The following is a 21,197-nucleotide window of genomic DNA, read 5'->3' on the forward strand; positions in this document are numbered from 1 at the left end:
GCATTCAGGAGAATTACTGACAAGTGACAAGAGAAGATATGCATTGGATGAGCACAGAAAGGGCTCAAAAAACTTTTTAAAAGTTCACAGAAGTATTTTAGTAAAAAATCTTAAAATACATATATAGAACCACAGAGTCCAAACAAAATTCAGGTAAGGAGCTTATATATGTATATAAATACACACACACACACACACACACACACACACACTTTTTATTTTTTACTTATTTTTTTTTTAAGAGACAGAGTCTGGGCCGGGCACAGTGGCTCACACCTGTAATCCCAGCACTTTGGGAGGCAGAGGCAGGCAGGTCACGAGGTCAAGAGATCGAGACCATCCTGGCTAACATGGTGAAACCCCGTCTCTACTAAAAATATAAAAATTAGCTGGGTGTGGTGGCATGCGCCTGTAGTCCCATCTACTCAGGAGGCTGAGGCAGGAAAATTGCTCGAACCCAGGAGGCGGAGGTTGCAGTGAGCCGAGATCGCGCCACTGCACTGCAGCCTGGTGACAGAGCGAGACTCTGTCTCAAAAAAAAAAAAAAAAGAGAGAGACAGAGTCTGTCTCCCAGGCTAAAGTGCAGTAGCACGATCACAGCTTACTGCAGCCTTGAACTACTGGGCACAAGCAAACTCCATATATTTTTAAAATAAGTTAACACCGACCAGGCACGGTGGCTCACGCCTGTAATCCCAGCACTTTGGGAGGCCAAGGAGGGCGCATCACGAGATCAGGAGATCGAGACCATCCTGGCTAACATGGTGAAACCCCATCTCTACTAAAAAATACAAAAAAATTAGCTGGGCGTGGTGGCAGGTGCCTGTAGTCCCAGCTACTCAGGAGGCTGAGGCAGTAGAATGGCGTGAACCCGGGAGGCAGAGCTTGCAGTGAGCCGAGATCGCGCCACTGCACTCCAGCCTGGGCGACAGAGCGAGACTCCACCTCAAAAAACAACAACAACAACAACAACAACAACAAGAAACAACCTATAAATTCAGCATTAAGGAAATGATTACATAATTTCACAATCTATTAATAACATATATCACCGTTAAAAATGTTTGAAACAAGGCCAGGCGCAGGGGCTTATCCCTGTAATCCCAGCACTTCGGGAGGCCGAAGTGGGCGGATCATTTAAGGTTAGTTCAAAACCAGCACGGCCAACATGGTGCAACCCCGTCTCTACTAAAAATACAAAAATTAGGCTGGGCGCGGTGGCTCATGCCTGTAATCCCAGCACTTTGGGAGGCCGAAACAGGCGGATCACAAGGTCAGGAGATCGAGACCATCCCGGCGAACAAGGTGAAACCCTGTCTCTACTAAAAATACAAAAAATTAGCCGGGCGTGGTGGCACGCACCTGTAGTCCCAGCTACTGGGGAGGCTGAGGCAGGAGAATTGCTTGAACCTGGGAATCGGAGGTTGCAGTGAGCCAAGATCACGCTACTGCACTCCAGCCTGGGAGACATGGCGAGACTCCGTCTCAAAAAAAAAAAAATTTAACCAGTGTGGTGTCATGTGCCTGTAGTCCCAGCTACTTGGGAGGCTGAAGCAGGAGAATCGCTTGAACCCAGGAGGTGGAGGTTGCAGTAAGCCGAGACTGCCCCACTGCACTCCAGCCTGGGCAACAGAAAAAGAGTCTGTCTCCAAAAAAAGAAAAGTGTGAAACAATCAAATACAAAATGTGAACCTGAATTGGATCTTAGATGCTATCAACCAACCAATCAATAAAACAAGACAAAAGACATCTTTGAGACAACTGGGAAAATCTGAACTGTATACTTAAATATTATGGAATTATTACTTTAAGTGTGATAACGGTACTATGATTATATAGAATAATGTACTTATTCTTAGGGGATGAATGCTGAAGTATTTAAGGGGACATTATATTAAGGAAAAATCTGATGTCTGCAACTTAAACAATTAATCCTCCCCAAAAAAGTACAGAACACACACACACACACACACACACACACACACACACACAGAACAAATGTATACTCTTTCATTTCTTCTGTGGGCTTAAACTTTTAAAATAAAAAACTTGGGGAATATGTTAAGTTTTAATTGTCATGAGAAAAATTTTCATGTTTTTAAGCAAAACATCAGCAAACATACACTTTTACTTTCCACATGATGTCAACCATATAAATCAAATGAACAAAAAAAGAGAGAAAAGATGCCAAAATGTTTACAGCAATTAGCCTCTGGGTGGCAGGATTACAGATGACATCTTTGCTTCCTTGCAACTTTCTACACAACTAATATTTCATAAAAAGAGCATTAAGCGTAACTGTAATAAACACAAAAGAGGTGAAAATATAAATTTGCAAAGTTGGGAACCGTGACCCAAGCAAGTGAAAGAAGACTAAGTAAAGATTTTTACAAAAGCAAAATAGAACATTATCTATATAACTGGAAGGACCAGATAAATGACTTTGGGAAACAGAGGGAAAGAAAGTTCAAGAGCAAATATTGCAAATGGTAGAAAAGAAGCAATGAAGGACGACAGCACAAAACAACACACTTTGAGCTCTTCTTAGTTTCTTTTGGTGTTTTTACCTCATGTCCCTGATCTCTAAATGCTGGTAGGCTCCGTGAGTCCTTGGACCTCTTTTCTAGCTACATTCACCCACTTAATGACCTCATCCAGACTCATGGTTTAGAATACTACCTATCTGCTTATGAGTCTGCAATTTAAATCTCTGGCCTAGACTTTTCCCTCTGAGCTCCAGGCCTCCTTGTCCAATTACCTCCTCAACACATCCAGCTGGTTGTTGAAAAGATAGCACAATGTTTCATATGTTTAAAACTGAACTTCCCCTCCTGCAGTCTTCTCTATCTTAACTGTCATTCCATTACTCTAGTTGCTCAAATCAAAAACTTGGAATCTGCCAGGCACGGTGGCATACATCTGTAGTCCCAGCTACTTGAAGCAAAACAAACCTGGAATAATTATTACTTCCTTCTTGTCTCTCACACTCCACATCTGATCTGTCTTTGAATCCCCTTTTCAAATACTCAGAATCTCACCATTCTTCATCTGCTTCAATCCTGGTCCAGCCACTATCACCTTTTGCTAAATTATGTCAATAGTTTCCTTGTTGGTCTTCCTGCCTCTAGCCTTGTCCTGCTTTCAGTCTATTCTTAATCAAGCAGCCAGAGTGACTCTGTTAAAAATCTAAATCAGATCATGTCCTTCCCCTGCTCAAAACCCTTAAATGTCTTCCTATCTCACTAAAAATAAGAGCCAAATTCCTCACAATGCCTTACATAATCTGGTTCCCTTCTGACTTCTCTGACCTCTTCTCTCACTTCTCTTAGTCACTCCACTACAGCCACACTAACCTCCCTGCTATTTCTCAAATATTCCAGGGACGCTCATGCCTCAGGGTCTTTGAACTTGCCATTCTCCATGCATGGATTACACTTATCCCAGATAACAGCAAATACACACTTACTTGTTTTTTGTTTTTTTTTTTTAAGATATGGTCTCACTCTGTTACACAAGCTAGAGTGCAGTGAAGCAATCATGGCTCACTGCAGTCTCAACCTCCCAGGCTCAAGCGATCCTCCCACCTCAGCCTCCCATGTAGCTGGGATCACAGGCGCACACTACCATGCCTGGCTTACTGTGTATTTTTTGTAGAGACAGGGTCTCACTATGTTGTCCAGGCTGCTCTCAAACTCCTGGGCTCAAGAGATCCTCCTGCCTCGGCCTCACTTAGATTTTTAATCAAATGTCCTATCAATGAAGCACTCCCTAGACACCCTATGTAAACTTGCAACCACTTTGTTGCTTCCTCTCCCCTTCCCTGCTATATTTATCTCTTCAGCCCTTATCAGCATCTAACATACTACATATTTTACTTATTTATCATATATTGCTATACCCTACACAAGAATGTAAGCTACATTAAGGTCTAGGATTTTTATTTCTTCTGATCACTTTGTATCCCCAAAATCCAAGAACACCTGGCACACAGAAAATACTCAATAGAAGGTACTTTGGCCGGGCACGGTGGCGCATGCCTGTAATCCCAGCACTTTGGGAGGCTGAGGCGGGCGGATCACGAGGTCAGGAGATCAAGACCATCCTGGCTAACATGGTGAAACCCCATCTCCACTAAAAATACAAAAAATTAGCCAGGCGTGGTAGCAGGTGCCTGTAGTCCCAGCTACTTGGGAGGCTGAGGCAGGAGAATGACGTGAACCCAGGAGGCGGAGCTTGCAGTGAGCCGAGATCGTGCCACTGCACTCCAGCCTGGGCAACAGAGCGAGACGCCGTCTCAAAAAAAAAAAAAGAAAGTACTTTGGGAGGCCGAGATGGGCAGATCACTTGAGGTCAGGAGTTCAAGACCAGCCTGGCCAACAAGGTGAAACCCTGTCTCTACTAAAAATACAAAAATTAGCCAGGCATGGTGGCACTTGCCTGTAATCCCAGCTACTCAGGAGGCTGAGGGACAAGGATCGCTTGAACTCAGGAGGTGGAAGTTGCAGTGAGCCAAGATGGTGGTGCCACTGCGCTCCAGCCTGGGCAACAAAGCAAGACTCCGTTTCAAAAAAGAAAAAAGAAAATACTCAAAAAAATTTGTAGAATGATTAGACAAATCAGAAAAAGCATGAAATAATTCAGATTACAGACAAAAAACAGTACTTTAGTTAAACTTTTCTCCACTGTCTAAAGTTGATGGAAAGAGAAAACAAAGGTTTAAATATATTATTTAGAAGTGTAAACGGAGCCAGAAGAATTAAAATAATTACCATCAAAAATTGAGAGGGTGAAAACAAACAAAAAAAAAATTGGGAGGGCCGCGGAGGTGCCTCACGCCCGTAATCCCAGCAGTTTGGGAGGCTGAGGGGGGTGGATCACCTGAGGTCGGGAGTTCAAGACCAGCCTGACGAACATGGAGAAACCCTATCTCCACTAAAAATACAAAATTAGCCGGGCATGGTGGCACATGCCTGTAATCCCAGCTACTTGGGAGGCTGAGGCAGGAGAATCGCTTGAACCCAGGAGGCGGAGGTTGCCGTGAGCCAAGATCATGCCATTGCACTCTGCCTGGGCAACAAGAGCGAAACTCGGTCTCAAAATAAAACAAACAAATAAACAAAAATTGGGAGGGTGTTGCTGAGTTACCCCATCTTTCATTATCAGAACTCAATTGTATTACTTTACATATAAAACACATTTATAGTTTTACAATAGTATTAGAGGTAGGAAGATAACCTCCCAAAGAAGTAAAACCATAAACAGTTAAAGAGAGTTGCCTTTGTGAAAAGGGAGCAAGGGTGAGGAAGGACTCTCTGCTTTTCATTATAAGCCCTTTTTACTATTATTTATTTATTTGTTTTTGAGGCAGGGTCTCACTCTGCCACCCAGGCTAGAGTGCAGCGGTGCAATCACGGCTCGCTGCAACCTCTGCTTCCCAGGCTTAAGCGATCCTCCCACCTCAGCCTCCTGAGTAGCTGGAACCACAGATGTGTGCCACCATGCCCAGCTAATTTTTTTGTATTTTTGGTAAAGACGGGATTTCACCATACTGCCCAGGCTGGTCTCAAACTCCTGAGCTCAAGTGATCCACCCGCCTTGGCCTCCCAAAGTGCTGAAATTATAGGCCTGAGCCACTGCACCCGGCCTATAAGCCCTTTTTAAAGTAAATGACTTATATTATTCTGTTAAAAATATTTAACAGCTCTCACCAAAATTAAAAATTGCTCCGTGAAAAACCCTATGAAGAGAAAGAAAGGATAGAGTGGGAGAAAATATTTGCAAAATACATATTCTACAAAAGACTAGTATCTAGAATATATAAAGAACTCTCAAAACACAATAGTAAAAAGACAATCCAATTAGAAAATGGACAAAAGATATGAAAAGACATTTCCCTGAAGAAAATGACAGGCAGCAAGTAAGCACATGAAAAAATCCTCACCATCATTAGCCATTAGGGAAATGCAAACTGAAACAACAATGAGGTATCACTACAGACTTGTAATGGCTAAAATAAAAAATACTGAAAACACCAAATGCCAGTAAGGATGAAAAAAAATTAGATCACTCATACATTGCTGGTGGGACTATAAAACAGTACGGCCACTCTAGAAAAGTTTGGCAGTTTCTTAAAAAAACAAACATGCAACTACCATGACCCAGCAATTGCAAATCTGGGCATTTATCCTAGAGAAATGAAGACTTATGCTCACAGAAAAACCTGTACATATGGCCGGGCACAGTGACTCACACCTATAATCTCAGCACTTTGGGAGGCTGAGGCAGGCAGATCACCTGAGGTCAGGAGTTCAAAACCAGTCTGATCAACATGGTGAAATCCCGCCTCTACTAAAAATACAAAAATTAGCCAGGCGTGATGGTGCACGGCTGTAGTCCCAGCTACTCAGGATGCTGAGGCTGAAGAATCACTTAAACCCTGGAGTGGAGGTTGCAGTGAGCTGAGATTGCATTCCAGCCTGGGCGACAGAGCAAGACTCCATCTCAAAAAAAAAAAAAAAGAAAAGAAAAACCTGTTCATAAATGCTTATAACAGCTTCTCAATAGTAGTCAAAAACAAGAAAAAAAAATGCAGATGTCCTTCAACAGATGAATGGTTAAACAAACTGTGGTACATCCACGGCATGGAAGACTACTCAGCAATAAAAATGAACTATTGATACATGCAAAAACATGGATGGAGCCCCAGAAGTTATGCTGATTGAAAAAGCCAATCCCAAGGATGGGCATGGTGGCTCATGCCTGTAACCCTGCATTCTAGGAGGATGAGACAGGAGGATTGCTTGAGCCCAGGCATTGGAGACCACCCTGGCCAATACAGCAAAACCCCATCTCTACAAAAAGTTAAAAAATTAGTTGGGTGTGGTGGCATGTGCCTGTCGTCTCAGCTACTTGCGAGGCTGAGATGGGAGGATTGCTTGAGCCCAGGAGGTGGAGGCTGCACTAACCATGACCTTGCCACTGCACTCCAGCCTGAGCAACAGAGTGAGGCCCTGTCTCAAAAAAAAAAAAAAGCCAATCACTAAAGGTTACAGACTGTATGATCCCATTTTATATAGTATTTTGAAATGACATTTTACACATGAAGAATGGATTAATGGCTGCCAGGGGTTTGGGTGCAAAAGACGGAGGTAGGTGTGGCTATAAAAGGGCAACAATAAACATCCTTGCAGTGTTAGAACTGTATCTTGACTGTTGTGGTGAAGACACAAACCTACGCAGGTGATAAAACTATGTAAAACTTAATACACACACGCATACACACACACATAAAAAGAAGTAAAACAGGAAATGTGAATAAATTTGGTGGATTTGGCCAGGCAAGGTGGTTCACACCTGTAATCCCAGCACTTTGGGAGACTGAGGCAAGTGGATCACTTGAGGTCAAGAGTTTAAGACCAGCCTGGCCAACATGGGGAAACCCCATCTCTACTAAAAATACAAACATTAGCCAGCAGTGGTGGTGGACACCTGTAATCCCAGCTACTCAGGAGGCTGAGGCAAGAGAATCGCTTGAACCTGGGAGGCAGAGGTTGCAGTGAGCCAAGATCACACCATTGCACTCCAGCCTGGGGAACAAGAGTGGGACTCCGTCTCAAAAAAAAAAGTGTTTTGAAGAGATTTCATTCTTTTGGAATCAACTCCAAATTCTTTCCAGCTTCATGGCCTATGCACACACAGTTCATTCTGTTTGGACAGCTCCTCCTTTCATACTGCACATAGAAATGTGCAGCTCTTCAACTATGCCCTCCAAGCCCTTCAACTATGCCTAACAAATTCATATTTATTGTTTAGATTGTATTCCACAAAGAGGTGTCCCCTTATCCTTCTGATTACGTTATATATATTTTTTCTCCTCTTTGCAATGATCACAGTTGTAATGGAATAGCTACTGATGTAATGACTCATTTAACATCTGTCTCTCCTATTAAATTATAAGCTCCACAATGGCAAAAGCCCCTTTAAAGCACATGCCACAGTGCCTGCACATTTATTTAACATGAAAAGAAGTAGCATGAAACTTCTCAAATAGCATTGCTTCATTCACAATGAGGGACGTGCATACTTCCTGTCCCCACTGGCTCAAACCAGGATGCTGAGCCACAAAAACATAGATAAGCCTGGCACATGTTCTTAAAGAGGTACCATAAACTTAAATGCCCACAGAAATCAAAGCAAGATAACATAGATGAGTGAAGCAGCTGGGTGTAAGAACAAAAGCACAAGCACTATGATAAATGACAAAAGAACACCTGGCCTCAGTGTCCAAGTACAATAATGAATTGTAGTGACTATGGCAAATCATAGCACTAATGCTCCATCTAAGCAGAGGCTGACTGCTACTCATAACTCCAGCCAACTGTTGCCAACAGAAACAAGAAATGCCAGAAGCTGGAAGTCTAAGTTTTATGAGAAATTTCCCCATTCTAAAATTCTGTCAATTAATTCAAATATATTAACATTTTACCACCTATGTAGGCCAAATAAAACACTTCTGCAGGCCACAATGAGCCCATCGGTTTGCAGGTTGTTCTAAAGCATTTATTTTACTTGATGATTTGTGAGAAAAAAAAAATTACGTACAGACACAGAGTGTAAAATAAAACACACCTCCAAAAAAGCTTTTCTTTTTGAGACAGGGTCTCACTCTATCAACCAGGCTGGAGTGCAGCGGCACAATCACGGCTGACTGCAGCCTCAATCTTCCAGGCTCAAGTGATCCTTCTATCTCAGTCTCCTGAATAGCTGGGGCTACAGGCACGGACCACCATGCCCTGCTATTTTTTTTTTTATTATTTTATTTTATTTTGAGACAGAGTCTCGCTCTGTCACCCAGGCTAGAGTGCAGTGGCACAATTTCGGCTCACTGCAACCTCTGCTTCCCAGGTTCAAGTGATTCTCCTGATGCAGCCTCCTGAGTGGCTGGTATTACAGGTACCCGCTACCACACCTCGTTAATTTTTGTATTTTTAAGAGACCGGGTTTCACCACGTTGTCCAGACTGGTATCAAACTCCTGACCTCAGGTGATCCGCCCACCTCAGCCTCCCGAAGTGCTGGGATTACAGGTGTGAGCTACCACACCCAGTCCTTTTTTTTTTTCTTTTGTAGAGACAGGGTCTCACTAGGTTGCCCAGGCTGATCTCAAACTCCTGGGCTCAAGTGATCCTCTTGTCTGAGCCTCCTAAAGTGCTGGGATTACAGGTGTGAGCCACTGCGCCCAGCCAAAAACCATTTCTTTTTAAGAAAAAACAATAGTCTTTAACCATCTCAAGCTAACATTCTCCTCTCTAACCACCTCCCCTTTCTACCACCCCAAAACTCCTGAAGTTCTCTACATTCTCCTTGGACCTTAGAAATATTGGGGCGGAAGACTGAGAAGCACTGATTAGTTAGAATGAAAGAGGAGGCATTAGAGTCATTAGGACCAGGTTCAAAGCCAGCTCTGCCACTTACTAGCAATGTACTCTAAAGCAAGTTATCTAATTTCTTTGTCCATCAATTTTCCCGTCTATACAATGGAAGTAATGTAATGTCTTCATCGTACAGCTGCTTTAAGAATAGGATTAAATAACATTATACTATATGCCAAACGTCCAATACAGGACCTAACACAGAGCATGAACTCAAAAAATGGGTATTATAAAGATATGCAAAAGACATGGTAACAATTGAATCTTGTTTAGGGTAAGAATTAAACATTCTAGATCTAAAACTGGTGGGGTACTTCAGTTGATAGATGGAAAACATGCCTAATAGTTCTGATAATACTCCTAAATTTTTTTTTTTTTTTTGCTGAGACGGAGTCTCACTCTGTCACTCAGGCTAGATAAAGTACACTGGTACAATCTCAGCTCACTGCAACCTCCGCCTCCCAGGTTCAAGCAACTCTCCTGCCTCAGCCTCCTGAATAGCTGGGATTACAGGCACGCACCACCAGGCCCAGCTAATTTTTCTGTTTTTAGTAGAGATGGGGTTTCACCATGTTGGCCAGGCTGGTCTCAAACTCCTGACCTCAAGTGATCCATCCGCCTCAGCCTCTCAAAGCGCTGGGATTACAGGCATGAGCCACCATGCCTGGCCCCTAAATACTTTTTAATAATTTTTTTCTACTAGGAGGAATGCTTATTTTGTTTCACATGCACAAGACAGATCATGATTTGAATAATGTAGGTATAAAAATTATTACCTTCACAAAACAGTTTCCAGCTATCAGTACTATTACAATACTATCTAATACAACCCTCAAGTCCCATTTCCTAATCCACAAGAAAGAGATTAATCCTTTTATCCTTGGGATGAGGCAACAGGTACAGATAAAAGAACAAATCTGATAATACATTTAAATAAACCCCTTCAAACACTGTATACCTGCTTGTCCTGTTTGGCTGAGGTAACTGCTCAATGACCTGACTGATGGAACCACATGTGTCCAAGTTAGAAGAATCCACAGGGTCTGAAAAAAATAACTGGATATTAGCATGAAAGACATTTACCAACAAACCTTAATACAAAATCAGGAATACAGACAATACCAATCTAATCAGTGACACTAGCACATCAACTTTTGAGTGACTACTACGCAGATACCACAGTAGGCTTCCTTACATACATTCGACACAACCACATAAAGTTTAAATCCACCCAGCACCAACAAGAGCACCCAAAAAATGCAAAGGGGACAGATAGCTTTAAACACCTCACCTGCAACCTTGTTTTCTTTCAAATGTTCATTGAACCCACTATTACCGTCTCCTCGTTCTTCTCCAGCTGTTTGTTCAGGATTGGACACAACATCCTAGAAAATACACATACAAAATATCCCCATTATATATGAAATAGTTCAAAATGAAACCTACTATTTGTGAACAATTTTTCCAATCAACTTTATTGAGAAGGTAATGATCTTCTAAATACTTATGTTTGCTGGTTTTCGGTTTAAAAAAAAAAATCTGCTCAATCTTCTTCAAACAAGGTATCACTCACCAACACAGGATTTTCTTTGTGCGTCTGGAGATTAGGAAGGTGTCGAGATAGCATACTGAAGTGAGAACCAGAATCATCCTCTAGAACCTGGCTTTCAGGCTGAGAATCTTCAATTATCAGGCAAGGAGTATCTTGCTGAGAGAAATCTGAATCCAACTGACTTCCAGTAGGGTCCATCTGCTCCCCTGGAATGGAATAACAAAAGATCAGTTCCGTGTAACCTACTAGCCTTGCTCACGCAGTCTAAACCTAAATAATGGGGCGGAAGTACAAGAGCTGGGAAACGGGACCACTTCAGGACTCCTCCAATTAGAATATTATATTTATAATTGCTGCAAGCACTTTCCTATCATGCCTACCAAGTCACCATTCCTCGTTATTTACAATAAGCCTGACTATCCCTCCCTATTTTTCATCACCTTCTCGTAGACACCCTTTCCCCTCCTTCCTAACCTCTTCTCTCCCCGCCCCTTTTTCCATCCCCCCCGCCACGTCCTTCTGGCGCCTCTACCTCCCCCCAAAAGAATGTTTTCTAAAATCTGTTCGCCAGAGGCCCCACAGCCTTTCAGCTTTCCTCACGACCACCAAGCCTTCTTAGCTAACGTTTCCCCACCCCCTCCTTAGGGCCCTCCAACCCCTTCCCCGTCACCGCCGCCATGCTTGCCACCCCGCCCCCTCCGGTCAGCCATCCCTTCAGACCCGAAATCCAGGCCTTCAGAGCCCACTGCACTCCCATTTCTCTCCAAACAGTACCAGGCATCCCGGCGGGAGGTCCCTCGCGCTCGAGCTAGAGGTCTCTGCACGCTCCCCAAGTCCCTCCAGATCGATCCCTAGGTCGCCGCTGTCGCCACCGCCGCCACCGGCCGCGAACTCCCCCTTTCCCGTCACGTCACACAATATCGGATCGTCCATTCGCTGCCGCCGCCCGCCACTCAAGAAATCCCGTGGATGATAGGTAGCTGCGGCAGAGTGCCCTGCCCCACGTAAGAAAAAGGAACACGGCGGCGCGTTTCCATGGCAGCATGGACGTTGCAGGCCCTCCCCTTTAGTAGAGCCGGAGAATGACGGTATCCTTGAACCGAAGGGACCTTGAGAGGGCGTGAAATACCTTCCCCTGCTTCCAGGACGATTGCATTTACCACTACTCAGACATTTCAGTACCTCTACCTGCTTTTTCTCGTTCACGCCCCTTAATCCCCGTCCCTCACCCTCTTTCCTGGAAAAGGAGAGAGTTTCCCAGCTTTCTCATAACAGGGCAAAGAAGAAGCGGCTTGAGGATGGCTAGGTACTTCAGAGCTGGTGAACCCAACAGAAGAGACTCTTTCTTCTTTGACACAGGGTTAACCTGTGTCAATCAGGATCCCTTTTGTGGGCCTCTACCCTGAATCCAAGGGCCTGACATTACATCTCTGCCAGGGCGTTTTTAGTATTTGTTTGTTTTTACATTGTATAAGGGCTCCAGTAAGCCATATTTCTTCCCATTGCCCTTTTCCGCCTAGGACGTATTTCAAGCTTCACACTTGTTTATCGTTGCCTTATCTTTTATGGGATTGCCTGCAGAGACTACAGCCCCAGACATATTTTGCACCTCCCATTGAGAGAATTGAGCACTGTCATTCTCAAACTCCATGGTAAAGAGAACAGCTGCCACCCCTTCTAACTAGATGACCTCAAAGATACTTCCAAACCCAGAGATTCTATTATCCTAATTATGGTGCCAGGGTCTTAAAGAGGGTGTGGCAGCTGTGACGAGTCTTAATGAACTAAGCCCCATGTGGCATATGTGTTTGTTTTGTTGTTGTTGTTGTTGAGGGGTGGGGGTATATTATTTAAGTGGCAGTTGGATCCAGGATAGAATTCTAGCCAGAGCAGCTGTCAATAGGGAAAGCACCTAGCACAGTGCCAAACATATACATAGTAGGCATTCAATATGAGGCAGTTTTCTCTTTCTACCCCAGGCTCAGATTTATTTCGGCACAGCCCAACCATGATTCTCCATTTCTGTAAATGCCCAATTCAGCACGTGATATAGGCAAAGCTGAAGTGGAGCTTCCTACCAGTCTTCTCACTGCTGCTATAAATTACAGTGATCCTATTTTCCAAACCAAATTCAAAGCATGTTGTCTGAATACACGTTACTTATGGGAACAAAAGGACTGACTCCTTGAAACTGTCCTGAAAAATCTAGAATCTATTACTGCTATAACTGGAATATAATTATGGTCGCCAGTATGTTTTATTAGTGGAGCTAAAATGAAATGGACCACACAGAGATGCATCTCACTTCTTAATCTTAAAATCATTTATAATTGACTCTTTTCATACTCCACTCCTAAAGCTGCAGAACACCAGTGACTAAACAAATCTAATACTTAAAGACCAGGTTAGAGCAATACTAACTACACTAGCTGGACAAAGTGAGTTCATCTGCTCTATTTGAGAGGGCACAACCAACCAGGTCCTGTTATGAGTAAATCATGACCTTGAGTCCCATAAAAATCCCCCAAAAGTTACCATTTTTTTGCTTTTCTTCTCCAGCCTGCTTCTGCTTCCTCCCCAAGTGAGGCACAAATAAACAGATCTGTTTGATTACTTGACAAGTGTGTTTGTCGAAACATAAAATGGCTGGGCGCAGTGGCTTACACCTGTAATCCCAGCACTTTGGGAGGCAGAGGCAGGTGGATTACTTGAGCCCAGGAATTTGAGACCAGCCTGGGCAACATGGCAAAAGCCCATCTCTAAAAAATATACGAAAAAAATTAGCTGGGTGTGGTGGCATGTGCCTGTAGTCCCAGCTACTCAGGAGGCTGAGGTGAGAGCATCTCCTGAACTAGGAGGCACAGGTTGCAATGAGCCAAGATTGCAACACTGTGCTCCAGCCTGGGCAAGAGAGTGAGACCCTGTCTGAAACAACAACAATAAAAACCTAAAAACCGCCAGGCGCAGTGGCTCACACCTGTAATCCCAGCACTTTGGGAGGACGAGGCGGGCGGATCATGAGGTCAGGAGATCGAGACCATCCTGGCTAAGATAGTGAAACCCCGCCTCTACTAAAAATACAAAAAATCAGCTGGGCATGGTGGTGGGCGCCTGTAGTCCCAGCTACTCAGGAGGCTGAGGCAGGAGAATTGCTTGAACCCTGGAGGCGTAGGTTACAGTGAGCCGAGATCGTGCCACTGCACTCCAGCGTGGGCAGCAGAGTGAGACTCCGTCACACACACACACACACACACACACACACACACACACAAAAGCCAGGTGCGGTAGCTCACGCCTGTAATCCCAGCACTCTGGGAGGCCAAGTCGGGCAGATCACGAGGTCAGGAGATCGAGACCATCCTGGCTAACACGGTGAAACACGGTCTCTACTAAAAATACAAAAAATTAGCCGGGTGCGCGGGCAGGCGCCTGTAGTCCCAGCTACTTGGGAGGCTGAGGCAGGAGAATGGCGTGAACCCGGGAGGCGGAGCTTGCAGTCAGCAGAGATCGCGCCACTGCACTCCAGCCTGGGTGACAGAGTGAGACCCCGTCTCAAAAAAAAAAAAAAAGCCTAAAAACCTCAGCCTGACTAAAAATAGATAAATAAATGAGTGAGCCATTTGCATTACTAAACAAGAATCTTAAAAAAAACTGTTAAGAAAAACTATTAATTCCTTGTTAGGCAGTGTGGCAATTAAATTAATCATTAAATTATCCAGAAAAATAAACTACAGGCAGAATGGTTGCAGCTAGATGAGCCAAAGGCCTTTATTGACTCCTAGACTGCAAAGGACCAACAGCACATCTACCTGTCTACAGGTAACATCTTTTCCTAAACCACCTTAGACAGAGAAATCTAACTTACCTCTAAAGCCCTCCCAGAGAAGGCTCATCAGATCTTAGGTTAACTTGCTTTAAAGTTTAACAAACCTCATTGTCAGAAATTTTTCTTCTAATATTAATCTTCTAATCTTCTAACCTAAATCCTTTATTATAGAATTTAAAGCCATTTCCTCTCATATTGTCTTTAACTGCTATCTTTAAAACCTAGATAGATGTCATTAAGTTGGGATCATCTCATTTGGTCCTATAATTATATAATAAATTTCAAACCATCAAACAACAAATCTAAATACTATATGACTTAGTTTGTGAGTATTTTTCTGAAGCCTCCTCAAAGACTTCTTAAGCAAAAGAACCCTAGCCCAGCTTATTCTTCCCTCACAGGTATTCCACCAACCTTTAAAGTTGCTTCACGATCTTATGAAAACTCATAGTTTTGGAGCTCAGTGGCAGAGTACTCTACTGAGGAGAATTGACAAGTGCCAAATTTAATGATAGGAAAACAATCATATATTCCTTTTTTTTTTTTTTTTTTGAGATGGAGTTTCACTCTTTTTGCCCAGGCTGGAGTGCAATGGTGTGATCTCCGCTTACGGCAACCCCTGCCTCCTGGGTTCAACTGATTCTCCTGCCTCAGCCTCCTGAGTAGCTAGGATTACAGGCATGTGCAACACACCTGGCTAATTTTGTATTTTTAGTAGAGACAGAGTTTCTCCATGTTGGTCAAGCAGGTCTCGAACTCCGGCCTCAGGTGATCCGCCCACCTCAGCCTCCCAAAGTGCTGGGATTACAGGCATGAGCCATAGTGCCCAGCCTCTCCCCTCTTTGTATAGAAGTAATCAAATCTTCACATCCAAGTATCATCTCCTGTCCACTCTACTTCTCTACGTTTGCAGTCTGGCTTCAACCTCCATAAATCTAATGCCTAGCACAATGCCAGACACAAAGTAGTTACTCTAAACATGTTAATGACTGATTCTAAAATTTTCTTGTCAAATTACCTCATTATCAGCCAGGTGCGGTAGCTCAAGTAATCCCAGTACTTTGGGAGGCCAAGGCAGGCTGATTGCTTGAGCTCAGGAGTTCAAGACTAGCCTGGCCAGCATGGTGAAACCCCGTCTCTATTAAAAATACAATGGTGGTGTGCACCTGTATTCCCAGCTACTCAGGAGGCTGAGGTGGAAGAATCACTTGAACCTGGGAGGCAGAGGTTGCAGTGAGCCGAGATCGCACCACTGCACCCCAGCCTGGGCTACAGAGTGAGACTCTGCCTCAAAAAACAACAACAAATTACCTCATTATCTTTGACGTCTGTAGTGTCTGATGCTGTTGCCATTCCCTCCTCAAAATTCTCATCCTGTGACTCGATAAATCCTGGCTCTTCTCTACCATCTCAGCTTTCTTTCCAATTCCTAACTTCCTGGAAGCCAGTACTATAGAATAAAAATCGAGAGTGATATGAACATGCTCAACACAGATGAACCTTGAAAACATTATGCTAAGTGAAATAAGCCAGACACAAAAGAACAAATATTGTGTGATTCCACTTATACGAGGTACCTAGAGTAGGCAAATTCAGAAAGAGAGAAAGTAGAATGGTGGCTGCCAGGAGCTAGGAGGAGGGAGGAAAGGGAATTTATTGTTTAATGATTTACATAGCTTCAGTTTGGGAAGATGAAAAAGTTCTGGAGATGGATGGTGGTGATGGTTGCACAACAATGTAAATGTACTTAATGCCACTGAACCATACACTTAAAAATGGTTATAATGGTACATTTATGTTATGTGTATTTTACTACAGTAACAAAAGTTTTTCAATGAGACTAAACTTTAATATTTAAAGATGTGTACTTAGATCATAAAAAATTTTAATAACAGGATTGCAATAAAAGAATGTATGGTTAATTGTATAGGTAACAGTGGGGTTGTAATTCATTAAGAGGCATGTGAGGTGCTTGGAAATGTTCTATTTTTTATTACCAGAGGCATTACACAGGTATACTATTTATAATTCATAAATTTGTACATTTATATTTTATTTTATTCACTTTATGTGTGCTATGTTTCACAATAAAGATGATTCAAAATAAATATCATTAATGCTAAAACTCATAATATGGTGAAAGAGGGTATATACATGATCTCAAAGTATCTCCCTAAAATGTACTGAATTATTACAAAGAGAAAAGTGGTAAATTTGCAGTGAAGAAACCTGGTATTCACCAACTCAACCAAGTGATCTCAGTTAATATACCAGTAAGGGAACAAAAAGCCATCTGTGTCACTTGATATAATGCACTGAGGATATATCACACTTTAATTGTATTCTTGCCAAAAATCTATAACCTGAATCTGATCATGAGAAAAAATCAGATAAATCCACATTAATGGGTGCTTTACAGATAAACAGCCCATATTCTCCAAAGAGAAAGAGAGAGAGAGAGAAAGAAGTGCTGCCAAGGTCAAGAATGACAATCAAAGTCTCAAGAAATGTTCTAGATTTGAGAAGACTACAAAGACAAAACCATTAAATGTAACAGATGATCCAGAACTGAATCCTGGACAAGAACTTGGTTTCCCTTCTTCTATAAATAATTCTAATGGGAGCACTGTTGATATCTGAATAAGGTCTGTAGATTAGTAACGAATCAATGTTATTTTCCTGATCTTGATAATTATACTCTGGTTATTAAATAAAAAATAAAGAAAGAGAATGGTACCAAATTATCCAAGATTGGAGCTGGGCAGTTTGGTACTAAGCAAAACTAAAGAAAAGTTAACCTGCACCTGACATAGGAACAGCATGAGGACAAGAGAAGGAATATACTTAGAGACTATGGAAACTGCCAGAAATCAGACCCAGGATGGTAGAAGGTGAGAAAAGTTCATTTTGCAAATTAAAAACAACAACAACAAAAAAAAAAAAACAAAACAAACCAGTTACTCCTAAACTCTTATGTTTCAATGGAAAGAAGGGAGTTTTTATGTCCTGGGGCTGAGAAATCTAAAAAGAATATAAGAGAAGACTTCAGTGGACAAGGACACCACTGTGTCCTAGTGGCTGAGCTGTGAAATAGTTACTCATATTCTGAGGTAGTGTGTGTACATAAAGTAACGTCTACGTACAAAGAAGGGAACAACAGACTCTGGGGCCTACTTAAGGGTGGAGAGGGGGAGGAGGATGAGAATCAAAAACTATCAGTTACTATGCTTGTTACCTGTGTGGCAAAATAATCTGTACACCAAACCCCGTGATAATGCAACTTACCTATTTAACAAACCTGCACATGTACCCCTGAACCTCAAATAAAATTTAAAAAATAATAATAAATAATAAAGTAAAAGTAACATAGCATGAACACAGTGCCTACTCTTGGATCCTACTTCCTGTGTCATTATTACACTTTCCCATTCTACTCTGAGCATATCCCTTCTGCAGTGTCTTCAGTACAGCTAGGTCTCAAAGGCTGATCTGGACTTGTACAGAGCTAGTGTGCTAACTAACAAGTGGCAAGAATAGCAGTAATGCATCTTGGCTCTACTCACATATAAGCACATCACACAGAGTCTCAAGAACTGAAAGTCAGAGCAAGTCAGAAAACCCATAAAACTGACCAAAAATTTCTTCACAAACTCAGGTTCATTTATTAATTTCAATTCACTTAAATGCAAGGTACCATTTTGGCTCCATGGTGGTGGTGGAGAGAGAGCAGTGTATAAGGATGAGTAATATCTAGTTTCTAGCTTCAAAGAATTTACAATCTAGGAAGGAGATAAGACATAGAAATAATGATAGTACAAGATACAATAAAAGTTCTGTAGGAATTGTGAGACAAATCGAAATAATTTTAGTCATGTGGTTATAATGAATACTTCTTGAGCACTTACTATGTTCTAAGTTCTATTTACTCTCACTCCTTTCTTGATTTCATCCAGTCACATTGCTATAAATACAATCTATATGCCAATGACTCCTAACTACGTCTTTGACCCACACCTCTCTCCCAAATTACCAATTTATGTATCTAACTGCCTATTCAATATCTTCATTTTGATGTCCAATTGACATCTCAAATTCAACATGCTTAAAATTGAACTCATCTCTTCTACCAAGTCTACTCCACCTGCAGCCTTCCCCATCTCAGTTGATGGCAACTTCACCCTTCTGGTTGCTTATAACAAAAAGCTTGAAGATACTGTCTTTTTATTAACAGAAAAAATTTTAAAAGCTATGTACTTATATAATACACCTTCAACAATTAGCAACAAATGCTCAATCTTCTTTTGTTGAAATTTTTTTTTTTCAAACAAATGCTCAATCTTATTTCATCTATATCCACCCACTTCCCCCAAACTGATTTCTAAACAAATCCCAGACATCATATAATTTTAACCAAAATACTTCTGTGTCTAAAATATAGAGAATATTTTAGGCCAGGCTTGGTGGCTCACACTTAAAATCCCAGCACTTTGGGAGGCTGAGGTGGGTGGACCACCTGAGGTCAGAAGTTTAAGACCAGCCTGGCCAACATGGTGAAACCCCATCCCTATTAAAAAATACAAAAATTAGCTGGGCATGGTGGCGAGCACCTGTAGTCCCAACTACTTGGGAGGCTGAGGCAGGAGAATCACTTGAACCTGGGAGGCGGAGGTTGCACTGAGCCGAAATCACGCTGCTGCACTCCAGCCTGGGCGACAGAGTGAGACTCTGTCTCAAAGAAATAAAATAAAATAAAGAGAATATTTTAAACATAAGAACACCGTCAACACACCCAAAGAAAATGAACAGGCCAGGCATGGTGGCTTACATCCCAGAACTTTGGGAGGCCAATGCAGGAGGATCACTTGAGCTCAGGAGGTCAAGTCTGCAGTGAGCAGTGATCATGCCACTGCACACCAGCCTGGGTGACAGTGACAGTCTGTCTAAAAAACACATATATATAAAGTTAAATTACTGTATTTTAAAATCACTTAAAACAATACTACCAATTCAATAGTTAGGCTTGTTTCTTTCATTTTGTTTTTTATTTTTAGTGACTGATATTTTTATTGAGGTAAAATTTACATACAGTGAAATCTATAGCTCTTAATTGTGTAATTTTTTTTTTTTTTAAGAGACAGGGTCTTGCTCTGTGGCCGAGGCTAGAGTGCAATGGCTTGATCATAGCTCACCACAGCCTTGAACTCCTGGGCTCAGCTCCTGGGCTCAAGCAATCCTCCCAGCTCAGTCTCCTCGGGGCTGGGACTACAGGTATGCACCACCACACCTGGCTAATTTTTCTTTCTTTTGTAGAGATGGGGTTACACTATGTTGCTCAGGTGGGTCTTGAACTCCTGGGCTCAAGCAATTCTCCCACCTCGACCTCCCAAAATGCTGGGAACACAGGCATGGGCCACCGTGCTTGGCCAGTAATTTGATGAGCTTTGACAAACATATACAGCCATGAAACCTACATATCAATCAATATATAGAACATTGTCATCACTCCAGAGAGTTATTCATGGTCCCTTCCAGTCAATCCCCATTCCACAAGGCAGTCATATTGTAACTTCTATGACCATAGATTAATTTTACCTGTAATACTATTTTATATAAATGGAATCACACAGTACGTGGTCTTTTGTGTCCAGCTTCTTTTGCTCAACATTTTGCATGTTGCTGCATGCATCAGTACTTCATTCTTTTTCATTGCTCAGCAACATTCAATTGTATGCAACACAACTTGTTTTATTAATTCTCCTATTACTGCATATTTGGGTTTAGACTATTATAAATAAAGTTGCTATGAACATTTATAAACAATTCGTTTTGTGAACATTTGTTTTCATTTATCTTGGGTAGATAACTAGAAGTGGAACTGCTGGGTCATAGGATGTGTGCTCCTTTCACTTTATAAGAAACTGCCAAAAACAGTTTTTGAAAATGACTGTAGGCCACCTGCAGTGGCTCGTGCCTGTAATCCCAACATTTTGGGAGGCTGAGTTGAGAGGTTCGCTTGAGCCAGAAGTTCAAGACCAGCCTGGGCAATACAGGGAGGCCTTATCTCTACAAAAAAATGTTTTAAAAATTAGTCAAGCATGGTGGCACCAGCCTGTAGTACCAGCTACTAGGGAGGCTGAGGTGGGAAGATCAATTGAGCCCAGGAGTTCAAGGTTGCAGTGAGCTATGATCGCACCACTTGCACTCCAGCCTGGGCAACACAGCAAGACTATGTCTCTTAAAAACAAATTAAAAATAAATAAATAAAATGATTGTATAATTTTATACTTCCACTAACAACATATTAGTTTCAGGTGCTCCACATTCTCACTAACATTTGGTTTGTCAGTGTGAAGTGATATCTCATGTTTGTTTTTTTTCTCATTTTTTTT

At 42.2% G+C, this 21,197-nt stretch overlaps 1 protein-coding gene across 11 annotated transcripts in view, besides 3 other annotated features; it reads right to left on the minus strand.

The window, feature by feature from the left end:
• The window catches only part of TP53BP1 (tumor protein p53 binding protein 1), a 107,580-nt gene that overhangs the window by 78,220 nt on the left and 8,163 nt on the right, over nucleotides 1–21,197 (minus strand). For 5 of the 11 annotated variants that reach the window (XR_007064488.1, XM_047432995.1, XM_047432998.1 and 2 more), the window contains exons 2-6: nucleotides 16,120–16,258; nucleotides 11,757–11,977; nucleotides 11,004–11,188; nucleotides 10,722–10,815; nucleotides 10,389–10,473 (exon numbers count right to left, since the gene is read on the minus strand). Coding sequence is in view for 9 of the 11 variants with exons in the window: in XM_047432995.1 (XP_047288951.1) it covers nucleotides 10,389–10,473; nucleotides 10,722–10,815; nucleotides 11,004–11,188; nucleotides 11,757–11,763 (371 nt within the window). In the remaining 2 variants the exon portion in view is untranslated. Of the gene's footprint in view, nucleotides 1–10,388; nucleotides 10,474–10,721; nucleotides 10,816–11,003; nucleotides 11,189–11,756; nucleotides 11,978–16,119; nucleotides 16,259–21,197 lie in introns of those variants that run through there. The other 6 variants (NM_001141979.3, NM_001141980.3, NM_001355001.2 and 3 more) reach the window with 3 other exon arrangements.
• Nucleotides 10,902–11,610: an enhancer, noted in NCBI's record as "OCT4-NANOG-H3K27ac hESC enhancer chr15:43784380-43785088 (GRCh37/hg19 assembly coordinates)". NCBI's record gives its function as "activates a minimal SCP1, AML or CMV promoter by ChIP-STARR-seq in primed H9 embryonic stem cells {active_cell/tissue: H9 hESC(primed)}" and the evidence as "EXISTENCE:reporter gene assay evidence [ECO:0000049][PMID:30033119]".
• Nucleotides 11,611–12,317: an enhancer, noted in NCBI's record as "NANOG-H3K27ac hESC enhancer chr15:43785089-43785795 (GRCh37/hg19 assembly coordinates)". NCBI's record gives its function as "activates a minimal SCP1, AML or CMV promoter by ChIP-STARR-seq in primed H9 embryonic stem cells {active_cell/tissue: H9 hESC(primed)}" and the evidence as "EXISTENCE:reporter gene assay evidence [ECO:0000049][PMID:30033119]".
• Nucleotides 13,814–14,314: an enhancer, noted in NCBI's record as "H3K4me1 hESC enhancer chr15:43787292-43787792 (GRCh37/hg19 assembly coordinates)". NCBI's record gives its function as "activates a minimal SCP1, AML or CMV promoter by ChIP-STARR-seq in primed H9 embryonic stem cells {active_cell/tissue: H9 hESC(primed)}" and the evidence as "EXISTENCE:reporter gene assay evidence [ECO:0000049][PMID:30033119]".

Source organism: Homo sapiens, chromosome 15 (genome assembly GCF_000001405.40).
Source record: "Homo sapiens chromosome 15, GRCh38.p14 Primary Assembly".
Classification (NCBI taxonomy): Eukaryota; Metazoa; Chordata; class Mammalia; order Primates; family Hominidae; genus Homo; species Homo sapiens.